The 15593-nt window shown below is 41.2% G+C and overlaps 1 annotated feature.

The window, feature by feature from the left end:
• Positions 13067–13366: an enhancer, noted in NCBI's record as "active region_26485". NCBI's record gives its function as "activates an Ori minimal core promoter by ATAC-STARR-seq in GM12878 lymphoblastoid cells {active_cell/tissue: GM12878}" and the evidence as "EXISTENCE:reporter gene assay evidence [ECO:0000049][PMID:35858748]".

Here is a 15593-nt window from a genome sequence, read left to right as displayed (position 1 = left end):
GTGTGTGTGTGTGTGTGTGTGTATGTCTATATATAAAGAATAGTAGATTTTTTAAAAATCAACACAAATTTATTCTTTTATAGTTCTAGAGGTCAGAAGTTTGAAATGAAGCTTACTGGGCTAAAACCAAGGCATTCACAGGGCTGGTTCCTTCTGGGGGCTCCAGAAGAGGGTCTGTTTCCTCACATTTCCTGGCTTAGAAGCTAGGAAAACTCTAGAAGTTTTCTTGAGGAAGACTCCAGAGACAGAGAGTCTGCCCATCTTATTTGACTTGTGACCCTTTCAGTTTTCAAAGCCATCAGCATAGCATCTTCTCTGACTCTGCCTCTCTTGTCGCATGGCTTTCTTATCTAAGACAAAAAAACCTATGAAATTCAGAGTCATATTTACACCTCAATCCTAATAAGTACCATTGCAGTGTTTATTTTAGTCTCATTTTATCTCTCACAAACATCTTATGCAAACATCTTGATGCTAATCTTAAATTATTTTTGTAATATGGAGCCATGGGGTTATCTAGATCCTATAGATGTGGAGCTGGTGGCAAGTTGGGCCACACACACTAAAAGTGACCAAAGTGAGAGGAGTTGGAAACAGTCATCTCCATTTGTGAAGATGAGGTAACCAGTCATCCCTGATAATCAGTAGGAGAGACAGACTATCCAACCACTCAGAAATGCAAAGAACAGGTTTAGGAACCACCTCCAAATTCTAGTTCCGGTTCTTTTGTGGTCAAGTCATATTTCTGTAAGAGGTAACCTCCTGAGATTTCTCCCTTTTTACTTAAGCAATTTGAGTGGAGGTCTGATTATTGTAACCAAACTTAAGGAAAGAACCATAAGAAATTCACAGTGGCTAGAGGAAAAATTGTTGGATGACAAATTCTTAAAGAGTTTAGTTGTATAGTGAAAAGTTGAATCCCTCTTGTCTTCACTTAATACAGCACTGACAGTTGTGTGAGGGGTCCCATATTATGTAACAGAAAATTTTGATCTATGTTTTGACACAAAGATAATTAAAAGAGAGCAAAGTAAGAAGAACTTGGAAACAGGCCGGGTATGGTGGTTCACGCCTGTAATCCCAGCACTTTGGGGGGCTGAGGCGGGCAGATGGCTTCTCAGTTCAAGACCAGCCTGGGCAACATGGCAAGACCTCATCTCTACAAAAAATAGAAAAAAATTTAGCTATGCTTGGTAACATGTGCCTGTAGTCCTGGCTATTCAGGAGGCTGAGGTGGTAGGATCGCTTGAGCCAGGGAGGCGGAGGCTGCAGTGAGCCATGATCATGCCACTGCACTCCATCCTGGGCAACAGAGCAAGACCCTGTCTCAAAAAAAGAGTTAAATAAAATATAAAAAGGAATTTAGAAAGTTATCCTCTGAGATTGAAATGAAGAAGAACCACCATATAAAAGATTTAATAATCAAAGATTATTAATGTCACCTCCCAGAAAAAATAGGTGACTGAAAGGACATAGGACTAAGGTAGCTAAGGTCAAATTGCATGAGCAAGAAGGTCAAGACAAGTGAATTGCACTATAGAAGACTGGTGTCCCATGGAGTCCTGTGTGAAGGGTCAAAGATAGCATGTGTCAGTGTACCTTTAACACCAAGCCAGGAGAAGCCCTGATGCTCCAGGTCCCTTGAGTTTGTGAGAATGTGCCCAGAGCGGAAAGGGAGGCAGCAGTCTGCCTGACAAAATTTGAGAGCACTCATCATTCCTCCCATGGAGGAATGCAAAACTGCATCAGGGGCCACCAAACAAAATTATTCATTGTTGGATTTGGCTACAATGAGATGGACCAAGCGGGCCAACCAAATAAAATGTATTTTCCCCCAGACTAACACCCTCTCTGTTGGCTAAGATCGGATTTGTACATTCGTTTATATGAAGTTTCCCTAAATAGATAAAATCCAAATCTCCTGAGCTATACCCACTGCTGGGAAATCAAAAGCCTGGATTATAGCTTAATTAAGCTTAATCATTTAATTAAGTTTAATTGGTTCATTCATGTACCAAAAGCCATGAGCACTTGCTACATGACATGCAGGGGTGACATGCTTGGCACACACACCCAACTCCTCAGTCCCCAGCTCTTGATCTCATTCAATAACCAAAGTCAGCCTGCTCTTGGATGACACTGATGAGGCTCTCTGTGCCTGAGTCTTCCTAGTCTGCTCTGTGCGTTGTGGTTATGCCAACACAAGGGTAGTTTCTGCTCTCTTAACACCATCTTTCTCCACTATATACCAGAATCTGGGCTGGATTCTCCTCTTTTTAGAAATTTTTCAGAGCCTCTGGGGTGAGTCATGTGCTTTTAACTCTTGGCTGCTATTCTCTTAAGTGGGTTCTCTGCTTCTCCCTAAGGAATGCAGGGTAGCAACTACTACCCTTTGGGTCCAAATATGGTGGATCTCATTATGAGCCTCAAAGTTCTCCTCAAAGGACCCAGAGGAAGATGGGTTTAAGAGTTCTTGTGAAAATGGTCTGGGCAAGTGTCCAAATTAGATCCAACCTGTAACCTTAAATAAACAGTAGAAAGAGGAGACTAGTTGCACCCAGTGTGTGGAAAGCCTTAGGCTTGATGTTGAATCTCTACAGGCTGAGTGTTGTTCTCAGAGATGCTGGCATCGTGCCAGTGGGCAAATGAAGTCAATACGTCTTATTTCTGGTGATGCTAACTTTGATTACTCCCTTAAGGTTGTGTCTGCCAGGCTTCTCCACTGTAAAATTGATATTTTCCTCCTTGTAATTAACAAATACTTGCACAAAGATACGTTGAAACTATCTAAACGTTCTGTTTCTTATACTCTTACCCATTAATTTTAGCATCCATGGATAGATTTTACCTGTGACAAGTATTACATTGGTGTTTATTTCTAATAATAAATGTCTAAAAAAATCTAAAATAACTTTCTTCAATTTTCTATTTGATCATTCTACAAGAAAGATTTTGTACTTTCTGTGTCCTCTCTTTTAAGCACTAGATGTGATGATTTGAGGTCTGGCTGATTGCCTTCTTTAACTGATTTGCGTCACTTCAGCAGCTGTGCTTATCACACAGGTTCTACCCCAAAAGAGTGAGTTTGTGTTCTTGTGCCATTGACTTTTATCTCCCTTCAGCTTTCAGAGGACTCCAAATAATAATTGAGGCCGGCTGGCCTGCCTGCCTGCCTGCCTTCTTTCCTTCCTTCCTTCCTTCCTTCCTTCCTTCCTCTTTTCCTCCCTCTCTCTCTCCCTCACTCCCTCCCCTCCCTCACTCCCTCCCTCCCCTCCCCCCTCTCTCCCCTCCCTCCCTTCCTTTCCTTCCTTTTGACAAGGTCTCACTCTGTCTCTCAGGCTGGAGTGCAGTGCAGTGGTATGATCACAGCTCACTTCAGCCTTGACCTCCTGGGCTCAAGTGATCCTCCTGCTTTAGCCTCCCAAAGTGCTGGGATTAAAGGCTCAATTGGGTTTCGAATGAGAAATTGTCACATTTTTAGCCCAGTAGCCCACTGTCTAGCTGTGTGTCAATATGAACAGGAGCAGTCTCAGGGGTCTTGAGTTCAGTTAGAAACCTGAACACACATGAAGGGTGCTTTAGGATCCTGGAGGGTGGTCAGCAAGTCGTGGAGAAGTACAAAATGCTGCAGGCTGCAAAACTGGCTTGGAAGTGCCAGGGCACTTGAATTTCCCTCTGAGTTTTTCAGGATCTATTCCTTAGCCAAGATGGGAGTACAGTAAATGCTGGCCTATCTATCCACAACTTGAGACTTCTATGTGGATGTTTCCTTAGGCTTGAGATGAATGAAGAGAACCAACCAATCTCTAGCCTGGAGATAGTTCTTGTATTAGGGTTTTCTAGAGACACACAGACCAGTAAGATATATTTATATATCTAGAAAGAGATTTAGTATAAGGAATTGGCTCACGCCATCAATGGAGGCTAAGTCCCAGGATCTGCTGCCTGCAAGCTGGAGGCCCAGGAAGGCCTGAGGGGGTAGTTCCAGTCTGAGTCCGAAGGCCTGGGAACCAGAAATGCTGACTGTGTAAGTCCCAGTCTGAGGGCAAGAGAAGACTGATGTCCCAGCTCAAGCAGTTCATCAGAGGGAGGGAATTCTCCCTTCCTTCCTTCACCTTTTTGTTCTATTTGGATCCTCAATAGATTGAATGATACCCACACACATTGGGGAGGGCCATTTGCTTTACTCAGTTTACTCAGTCTACCTATTCAGACATTCATCTCTTCTGGAAACACCCTCACAGACACACCTAGAAATAATGTTGAGCCAAATCTGGGCACCCATTTCCCAGTCAAATTGATACCAAGTTAACCATTGCGGTTCCCAAGTTTGTGTGCTGTTCCTGTTATATACTCTGGTAACTATATCAATTTCTAGAAGAGACATAGCTCAAACAGGCCCATTACTCAGATGGGCACCAGGGAAAGGCCTGCCTAAATCACAGGAAACTGAGATGAGCACCCAGGAAATGTGGCTAAGACACTGCTTTTCAATTTGAATGTGCTCAGGAATTTCCTAGCGATCCTAGTAAAGTGAATATTTTTATTCAGCAGGTCTGGGTTGGGACCTGAAATTTTGCATTTCTACAGAGTTTTCACATGACGCTCGTGCTTCTGGTCTGAGGACCACACTTTGAGTAGATAGAATTAAAGGACATGGAGAAGTCTGAATGTTAAAAAATATGTTATCCAAAAAGTATCTGAAGCACCACTATCCACCACTATCTTTCTTTCTAGAATTTTTGTACCCATAAGAACAGGGAGAATTCCATCACTTTTGGCAGGAAGAAAGGTTGGGGATCAGGCTCAATGCACATTGTGATTTCATTGCAGAATATAGTAAAATGGGGCAAGCCAGCAGAACAGGGCTTAGATGACTCAGTGGGTCTTTCCAGCTTGCCCCATATTCATCAAGAACCTGCTTGTGTAAAGGTATTAAACAAGTGTGGAGACTTCCTAGGAAAGCTTTGTACTTATCTACTTTTTTCTGCAACAAAATATGAATGAGTGTTCACACAGATGATACCCCCATGGTCATGTGCAAGGGTTAAACACAATTTCCCATACAGTGGCCATAAATGCACCCCTTTCTCTCCCACTTAAAAGGAAAGTCAATATACAAATGAATGAGATAAATAATGTTGAATATCCTCTTTAAATATTTGCAATTGTTGGTACCTTAAACCATTAGTAACACATTATAGCATACCTCAGAACTGATTGTGGCACATCAATGTGTCACTTCAAAATGGGTGAGAAGCACTGGCCTAGAACTTACCTGGTGTGCCTGGCAAAGCCACCTGTGCTGGACACAGATTCTGGAACATGAGCCTGGGCCTCATGGCTGCCTTTATCCACCTTCGGAATAGCCTATAATGGTAATGGTATAGGTTCTATGCTGTCCAGTATGGTAGCCACTGCCTATAATTGCAATGAGGGTCACATATCACATAATGCCATTTTTTTTTCCAGTTGTGTGAGTCACTTGAGATTATGGCAGTTGTTGATAGACCACAAAATCAACCATGCCCTTCTTCACCTCAGCCAGCCAGCTAAAGTGAAAAAGGGCATGGCTACTGAGCATTTGAAAGGTGACTAGTCCAAAGTGAGATGCACTGTCAGTATAAAATAACACGAATTTCCAAAACGTAGTATGGCTTCCAAGATGGCTGAATAGGAACAGCTCCAGTCTGCAGCTCCCAGGGAGATCGATGCGGAAGATGAGTGATTTCTGCATTTCCAGCTGAGGTACCTGGTTCATCTTGTTGGGACTGGTTGAACAGTAGGTGCAGCCCATGGAGGGCGAGCTGAAGCAGGATGGGGCATCACCTCACCCAGGAAGCACAAGGGGTTGGGGGAGGGATTTCCCTTTTCTAGCCAAGGGAAGCTGTGACAGACTGTACCTGGAGAAACAGTACACTGCTGACCAAATACTGTGCTTTTCCCACAGTCTTAGCAACCTGCAGACCAGGAGATACCCTCCTGTGCCTGACTTGGTGGGTCCCACGCCCACAGAGCCTTGCTCACTGCTAGCACAGCAGTCTGAGATCGACCTGCGATGCTGCTGCTTGATGCAGTGAGGGGCGTCCACCATTGCTGAGGCTTGAGTAGCTCACAGTGTAAACAAAGAGGCCAGGAAGTGCAAACTGGGTAGAGCCCACCACAGCTCAGCAAGGCCTACTGCCTCTATAGATGCCATCTCTGGGGGCAGGGCATAGTAGAACAAAAGACAGAAAACAACTTCTGCAGACTTAAACGTCCCTGTCTGACAGTTCTGAAGAGAGCAGTGGTTCTCTTAGCATGGTGTTCAAGCTCCAAGAACAGATAGACTGCCTCAAGTGGGTCCCTGACTACCGTATAACCTGACTGGGAAACACCTCCCAGTAGGAGCCGACAGACACCTCAAACAGGAGGGTACCCCTCTGGGATGAAGCTTCCAGAGGAAGGATCAGGCAGCAATATTTGCTGTTCTGCAGTCTCCACTGGTGATATCAAGGCAAACAGGGTCTTCCAGCAAACTCCAACAGACCTGCAGCTGAGGGGTCTCTTAGAAGGAAAACTAACAAACAGAAATGAATCGCATCAACATCAACAAAAAAGATGTGCACTCACAGACCCCATCTGAAGGTCACCAACATCAAAGACCAAAGATAGATAAAACCACAAAGATGGGGAGAAACTAGAGCAGAAAAACTGACAATTCCAAAAAACAGGGTCTTTTCCTCCAAAGGATCACAGCTCCTTGCCAGCAAGGGAACAAAACTGGACAGAGAATGAGTCTGATGAGTTGACAGAAGTAGGCTTCAGAAGGTCGGTAATAACAAACTTCTCTGAGCTAAAGGAGTGTGTTCTAACCCATCGCAAAGAAGATGAAAAACCTTGAAAAAAGGTTAGACGAATGGCTAACTAGAATAAACAGTGTAGAGAAGACCTTAAATGACCTGATGGAGCTGAAAACCACAGCATGAGAACTTTGTGACGCATGCACAAGCTTCAACAGCCAATTCAATCAAGTGGAAGATCAGTGATTGAAGATCAAATTAATGAAATAAAGCAAGAAGACAAGATTAAAGAAAAAAAGCATGAAAATAAACGAACAAAGCCTCCAAGAAATATGGGACTATGTGAAAAGACCAAATCTACGTTTGATTGCTGTACCGGAAAGTGACAGGGAGAATGGAACCAAGCTGGAAAACACTCTTAAGGATATTATCCAGGAGAACTTCCCTAACCTAGCAAGGCAAGCCAACATTAAATTCAGGAAATTACAGAGAACACAAAGATACTCCTTGAGAAGAGCAACCCCAAGACACATAATTGTCAGATTCACCAAGTTTGAATGAAGGAAAAAAGGACAGCCAGAGAGAAAGGTCAGGTTACCCACAAAGGGAAATCCATCACACTAACAGCGGATCTCTCGGCAGAAACCCTACAAGCCAGAAGAGACTGGGGGCCAATATTTAGCATTCTTAAAGAAAGGAATTTTCAACCCAGAATCTCATATCCAGCCAAACTAAGCTTCATAAATGAAGGAGAAATAAAATCCTTTACAGACAAGCAAATGCTGAGAGTTTTTGTCACCACCAGGACGGCCTTACAAGAGCTCCTTAAGGAAGCACTAAACATAGAAAGGAATAACCAGTACCAGCCACTGCAAAAACATGCCAAATGGTAAAGACCATCGTTGCTATGAAGAAACTGCATCAATTAATGGGCAAAATAACCAGCTAACATCATAATGATAGGATCAAATTCAAACATAACAATATTAACCTTAAATGTAAATGGGCTAAATGCCCCAGTTGAAAGACAAAGACTCGCAAATTGGATAAAGAGTCAAGACCTATCAGTGTGCTGTGTTCAGGAGACCAATCTCATGTGCAAAGATGTACATAATCTCAAAATAAAGGGATGGAGGAAGATCTGCCAAGCAAATGGAAAGTGAAAAAAAATTAAAAAAAAAAAGCAGGGGTTGCAATCCTAGTCTCTGATAAAACAGACTTTAAACCAACAAAGATCAAAAGAGACCAAGAAGGCCACTACATAATGATAAAGGGATCAATTCACCAAGAAGAGCTAAGTATTCTAAATATATATGTACCCAATACAGGAGCACCCGGATTCATAAAGCAAGTTCCTAGAGACCTACAAGGAGACTTAGACTCCCACACAATAATAATGGGAGCCTTTAACACTCCACTGTCACTAGTAGATCAATGAGAAAGAAGGTTAACAAGGAAATCCAGGACTTGAACTCTGCTCTGGACAAAGCAGACCTAATAGGTACGTACAGAACTCTACATCCCAAATCATCAGAATATACATTCTTCTCAGCACCACATTGAACTTATTCTAAAATTGACCACATAATTGGTAGTAAAACACTCCTCAGCAAATATAAAAGAAATCACAGCAAACTGTCTCTCAGACCACAGTGCAATCAAATTAGAACTCAGGATTAACAAACTCACTCAAAACTGCACAACTACATGGAAACTGAACAACCTGCTCCTGAATGACTACTGGGTACATAACAAAATGAAGGCAGAAATAAAGATGATCTTTGAAACCAATGAGAACAATGACACAATGTACCAGAATCTCTGGGACACATTTAAAGCAGTGTGTAGAGGGAAATTTATAGCACTACATGCCCACAAGAGAAAGCAGGAAAGATCTAAAATTGACACCCTAACATCACAATTAAAAGAACTAGAGAAGCAAGAGCAAACAAATTCAAAAGCTAGCAGTAGGCAAGAAATAACTAAGATCAGAGAAGAACTGGAGGAGATAGAGACACAGAAAACCCTTCAAAAAATCAATGAATCCAGAAGCTGGTTTTCTGAAAAGATCAACAAAATGGATAGTCCACTAGCAAGACCAGTAAAGAAAAGAGAGAAAAATAAATTCAATAAAAAATGATAAAGGGGTTATCACCACTGATCCCACAGAAATACCACCGTGAGAGAATACTATAAACACCTCTATGCAAATAAACAAGAAAATCTAGAAGAAGTGGATAAATTCCTTGACACATACACCCTCCCAAGACTAAGCAAGGAAGAATTTGAATCTCTGAATAGACCAATAACAGGTTCTGAAATTGAGGCAATAATTAATAGCCTACCAACCAAAAAAAGGAACAGGACCAGACAGTTTCACAGCCCAATTCTACCAGAGGTACAAAGAGGAGCTAGTACCATTCCTTCCAAAACTATTTCAATCAATAGAAAAAGAGGGAATCCTGCCTAACTCATTTTATTAGGCTAGTATCATCCTGATACCAAAGCCTGGTAAAGACACAACAAAAAAGAATTTTAGGCCAATATCCCTGATGAACATCAATGTGAAAATCCTCTATAAAATACTGGCAAACTGAATGCAGTAGCACATCAAAAAGCTTATCCACCACAATCAAGTCAGCTTCATCCCTGGGATGAAAGGCTGGTTCAACATGCAAATCAATAAATGTAATCCATCACATAAACAGAACTATCGGCAAAAACCACATGATTATCTCAATAGATGCAGAAAAGGCCTTCAACAAAATTTAACACCCCTTCATGCTAAAAACTCTCAATAAACTAGGTATTGATTGAATGTACCTCAAAATAAGAAGAGCTATTTATGAAAACCCACAGCCAATATCATCTGAATGGGCAAAAACTGGAAGCATTCCCTTTGAAAACCAGCACAAGACGAGGATGCCCTCTCTCACCACTGCTATTCAACATAACGTTGGAAGTTCTGGCTAGGGCAATCAGGCAAGAGAAAGAAAGAAAGGGTATTCAAGTAGGAAAAGAGGAAGTCAAATTGTCCCTGTTTGCAGATGACATGATTGTATATTTAGAAAACCCCATTGCCTCAGTCCAAAATCTCCTTAAGCTGATAAGCAACTTCAGCAAAGTCTCAGGATACAAAATCAATATGCAAAAATCACAAGCATCCCTATACACCAATAACAGACAAACAGAGAGCCAAATCATGAGTGAACTCCCATTCACAATTGCTTCAAAGGGAATAAAATACCTAGAAATCCAACTTACAAGGGATTTGAAGGACCTCTTCAAGGAGAGCTACAAACCACTGCTCAACAAAGTAAAAGAGGACACAAACAAATGGAATAACCTTCCATGCTCATGGATAGGAAGAATCAATATCGTGAAATGCCATCCCCATCAAGCTACCACTGACTTTCTTCACAGTATTGGAAAAAACTACTTTAAATTTCATATGGAACCAAAAAAGAGTCCTCACAGCCAAGATAATCCTAAGCCAAAAGAACAAAGCTGGAGGCATCACACTACCTGACTTCAAACTATACTACAAGCCTACAGTAACCAAAACAGCATGGTAGTGGTACCAAAACAGATATATAGACCAATGGAACAGAACAGAGGCCTCAGAAATAACACCACACATCTACAACCATCTGATATTTGAAAAACCTGACAAAAATAAGCAATGGGGAAAGGATTCCCTATTTAATAAATGGTGTTGGGAAAACTGGCTAGCCAAATGTAGAAAGCTGAAACTGGATCCTTTCCTTACACCTTATACAAAAATTAACTGAAGATGGATTAAAGACTTAAACGTAAGACCTAAAACCATAAAAACCCTAGATGAAAACCTAGGCAATACCATTCAGGACATAGGCATGGGCAAGGACTTCATGACTGAAACACCAAAAGCAATGGCATCAAAAGCCAAAATAGATAAATGCGATCTGATTAAAGAGCTTCTGCACAGCAAAAGAAACTATCATCAGAGTGAACAGGAAACCTACAGAATTGGAGAAAATTTTTGCAATCTACCCATCTGACAAAGGGCTAATATCAAGAATCTACAAAGAACTTAAACAAATTTACAGGGAAAAAAACCATCAAAAAGTGGGCAGAGGATATGAACAGACACTTCTGAAAAGAAGAGATTCATGCAGCCAACAGACATATGAAAAAATGCTAATCATCACTGGTCATCAGAGAAATGCAAATCAAAACCACAGTGAGATACCATCTCACGCCAGTTAGAATGGTGATCATTAAAAAGTCAAGAAATAATAGATGCTGGAGAGGATGTGGAGAAATAGGAATGCTTTTACACTGTTGGGAGTGTAAATTAGTTCAACCATTGTGGAAGACAGTGTGGTGATTCCTCAAGGATCTAGAACTAGAAATACCATTTGACCCAGTGATCGCATTACTGGGTATATATCCAAAGGATTATAAATCATGCTACTATAAAGACACATGCACATGTATGTTTATTGCAGCACTGTTCACAATAGCAAAGACTTGGAACTAACCCAAATGTTTACCAATGATAGATTGGATTAAGAAAATGTGGCACATATACACCATGGAATACTATGCAGCCATAAAAAAGGATGAGTTCATGTCCTTTGTAGGGACATGGATGAAGCTGGAAACCATTCTAAGCAAACTATCACAAGGACATAAACCAAACACTGCATGTTCTTACTCATAGGTGGGAGTTGAACGAGAACACATGGACACAGGGCAGGGAACATCACACACTGGGGCCTGTTGTGGGGTGGGGAGCTAGGGCAGGGATAACATTAGGAGAAATACTTAATGTAAATGACAAGTTGATGGGTGCAACAAACCAACATGGCACATGTATACATATGTAACAAGGCTACACATTGTGCACGTGTACCTTAGAACTTTAATAATAATAAAATGTATGAAAATAATGTAAGATAACTCATTAATAATTTTGGTTTGGGATACATGTTGAAATATTTTGATATATAGGTGAAAATACTTTTAAATTAATATTTCTCTTGCTTTTTTAATGTGTTTACTAGAAAATTAAAATTTCCTCTACGTGGCTGCCATTATGTTTCTACTGGATAGTGCTGGTCTTAGAGCATATGTGTTCCTCCCCCTACCAGCTTCTCTTTCTGGTATACCTACTTCTGAGAAGTTGACACCTGTGCCCATCCTGGGCCTCTGCCAAAATCCCAACTCCTCTGTGAGGAGTGAGGAGTGCCTTGGCGGCTACTCTGACTTTTCTTCATGTAAAGGGATTTGAGACCCATCCCATGTATGGCCTACTTTCATCAGCTTCTGAATTTCAAATGCAGATGTGTATGTGTTGTGACTTTGTGTATGTACAATTCCTGAAACGTCTAGTTTACTAGGAGAGCTCAATAAAGTTAATAACACTGATAATACCCTAAACTATGGGAGGTCTTAGAGTAAGATGACAACTATAGACATGGAAATCAATCACCTTTTTATCTTTTAACCATCCCCAAATTTGGTTTGCCCCTATGCCAACTTAAATGACTCAGGGAGGGGAACATACAGTGATTCCTAGCTAGGTAGGGTTTAGGGGACCTGACTTGACTTTGAATTTTTCTAAGCTATGTACTGAGCAGGACCTCATCAAAGTGCAGTGGTAGACAGAGTTCATCCTGGCTCTATGGTGTCTTTTATCTTTCCATTCTCCCTTTCAGTGAGCCTCCAAACGTCCACTCCTAGTACTCAGGGATCTGACTGTCAAAGACTTATCTTTTACCTCTTGCTGTCCTCCCCTGGCGTGTTCTCACCCCTCCTCTATTCCTTCAGAGCCCTGCTCTCTAAGATTCAGCTGATTTGATTGGTGTGGTAATGGAAGAGCAACCCACAGTCTTAGGCAAGAGTCTTAAATTTGAAGGTTCCAATGAAGTAGACCCAAGTTATCCCTTTCCAACAGAAGACGTCAGTTGATGGATTTTGAGGATATTTGATTTCATGTGAGATGGTGCCACTGAGCAAATGGTAGATGCCCCAAAGCAGCAGATGAAGAATTAAAGAGGACTGCCCTTAGTGACATCTTGGAATGATTTGGGGGTGTGGGAAACCTCTCCTGCCCTCCAAACTCCTCCTTTCTCCCAGAATATCAAATTACTTTTTCAGAGAAAGTAATGGGAGGGGAGGGGTTTATGAGACAGGAAATGTTGAAGAAGCGCTGGACTCATCAGCCCCAAAGATTAAGGATGGCCTTCTCCTCCCTCCAGATAGGAACATAGCTGGACACCTTGGGGGCAGCTTCTTGAGGACAGAACTGACCTGTGCCTCTTGAAGGCAAAGGCATTATAGGTTCTCAATACATATTGAATGCTCAACTGACTGGCTGAGGTGAAGAAGGAGATGGTTGATTTTGCAGTCTATTAATAACAGCCATAATCTCAAGTGACTCACAGACCTTGAAAAAAGATGATGTGGCCTTCATTGCAGTTTTGCAGAAGTGAAAATCGCCATTGCATGAAACTGTTGAAAGGGGATCTTCAGAATGACTTTGGTGAAATGTTTAGCGACTCTCTTGTAAACCGCAAAGCTGTACAAGGCAACAATGCTCATGATATCCCAGAGCAATGTGGGCAATGGCCACACAAGAGATCCTCAAGGGAGTTCTCTGAGTTTAGGGGACATGTATTGCAGGAGTCAGCCATAAAGGATGGGAAGCGTGCATGGGGCCCTGTGCAAGGCCCTTTGTGAAGCAAGTAAAACACATCATCCCTTTGGCAATTTTCCACTGAGACCACACAAAGAATAAAATATTTAAACATAAACAAATTATGTGTTTCTTCAAAATGTCTTCTTATCTAATTTCCCTCTTTTTTACTACTGTTCCCTCCTAACTTCTCTGTCAGGCTCTAAAAATTCTCTTTCTTTCATCTCTCTGTCCTGGACCATAAATGGCCTTTATGCGGGCTCCTCTCTCTTTCTCTCATGCAGAAGGCAGCTGAATTGCTTTTCCACTTAATTCCAGGCCTAATGAAAGTATCTAGGCCTTGAACCACCCAACCATTCAGCTTTTGCTTATGTTTTTTTCCTCTCTTTCCTTCCAACTCTCTAGTTTACCCCTTCATTCTGGTTAATTGTATTAACTTGTTTTCCTGTATGAATCCTCCTTTAGATTACTTGGATTGTCCTGGAATGGGCTTGAGAGAGTTTATCATTCTTTGTCCACCATTCTTAATGTGGCTCCCTACCACCTGGGCCTGGCTCAAGAGAAGAGGCAGACAGGGTTCTGTGTAAGTGGGCAGACACCAAATGAGGAATGGTGGGATGTCTGGGGTTCCTCGTGTCCTGTATCAGCAGTGAGTCAGCTAGCAGGAACAAGCCTTTGACAAAGTCTTTCAAGTAAGGAAAAACCTTGTTGTGGTTCTAGGATGTGTCTAAATTAGGGTTTGGAACTGGGCATGTCTTGGCCCAAAGCTCATGGTCTACCTGCTATAACTACTGGTGTTGAAACCCCAGGTGATGCTGCCTAAGAAGTCATGGTTGTGTGAGGACTTGCTGCTTCCTTCATTTGTCATTCTGACAAGGTGTCAGGAAATTTAGCCAATAGCAATAACAATCAATGTGCTCTTCTCTACCATACTGAATGAATGCCATGGCAGCTGATCAACAAGAGAATGCCATATTGAAGAGTCTCATTATAAGTCATGTATAACAGAGATGTAGGTATTCTATGACAGGGGAGTGAACTATAGTACCTTGCAAAGACCAGTGTTTGTGGGTTAAAAAAAAAAAGACTGATGCTCAGGTGTAGACATGAGACTCCAGAATGATTTCTGTTTTGCCTTGTAAGCTATCAGTTAATCTGATGGGGATAGAAAAGGCAAAATCTCAGCATGTCAGCATGTCAGTAATTCAACATAACTGACTCTTGTTAAGCTTGTATTCTTTGGCTGAGTGGTGAGAAGCCTACCCAAGTCTTATTTACCCCCATAATCGACCTCAGGAGATATTTAGTTTTTTTCATTGATCTTTTCCCTACAAGTGATGAATGTGAATGGTTAGGTTCCCTTCTATCCATAAGTTTCTTAAACAGGACAGATGGATATGCAGACCACTGTAAGAAACAATAGTGTCTAGTAATTATGTCTGGTAAACTATTAATTTTTTCATTTAGCTCTTTGACAGCTATTTTCTGAGGGCGCCTGATGATATGCTAGGAATTACAGATGCAATGGTGACTGAAGTAAAGATGGTCCTTGCTTCGATGAAACATGCACCTTAACAACAAATGCAGAAAAGTCAAGGAAATTACATGATAAAAATATTAATCCATAATAAGTACTTTTTATATTTAATTTTATTTTTAAATATTTAAGTCATTGATCCATTCAGAACTTATTTTGGCAAAGGAATGATACAGAAATCCAAATGTTTTACCCTAAAACACTAGCCAGTTTTCACAATATCATTTATTAAAGGGACCATGTTTTCTCTACAGATTTGAAATGATACCCTTATTATATACCAAATTCTCATATTTATAGGACTGTTTTGGCATTGTATTCTGTTACATTGATTTGTCTCCCTGCTTTTGGCTCAGTGATGGTTTTTAATTTCTGTAACTTTATAATAATGTTTTTCTAGTTGGCAAACAAGTCTTCTTTATTTCCTTCTCCTTTACCTTTTCCTCCTCCTTTCCAGGTCATTCCATGTATGTATTTTTTTCAGATGACATTTAGAATAATTTTAAGTTCCTGATCTCCCCAAATTCTTTTTTAAAAACCCTGGGTCGGCAAGGCTATTTAAAGTCCTGTTGATGAGGTATCTATTGCAAGT

The sequence above is a fragment of the Homo sapiens genome, chromosome 7 (genome assembly GCF_000001405.40).
Source record: "Homo sapiens chromosome 7, GRCh38.p14 Primary Assembly".
NCBI classification, from domain to species: Eukaryota; Metazoa; Chordata; class Mammalia; order Primates; family Hominidae; genus Homo; species Homo sapiens.
Note: the sequence above shows the minus strand (reverse complement) of the source record. Positions and strands in the feature narration are given on the sequence as shown.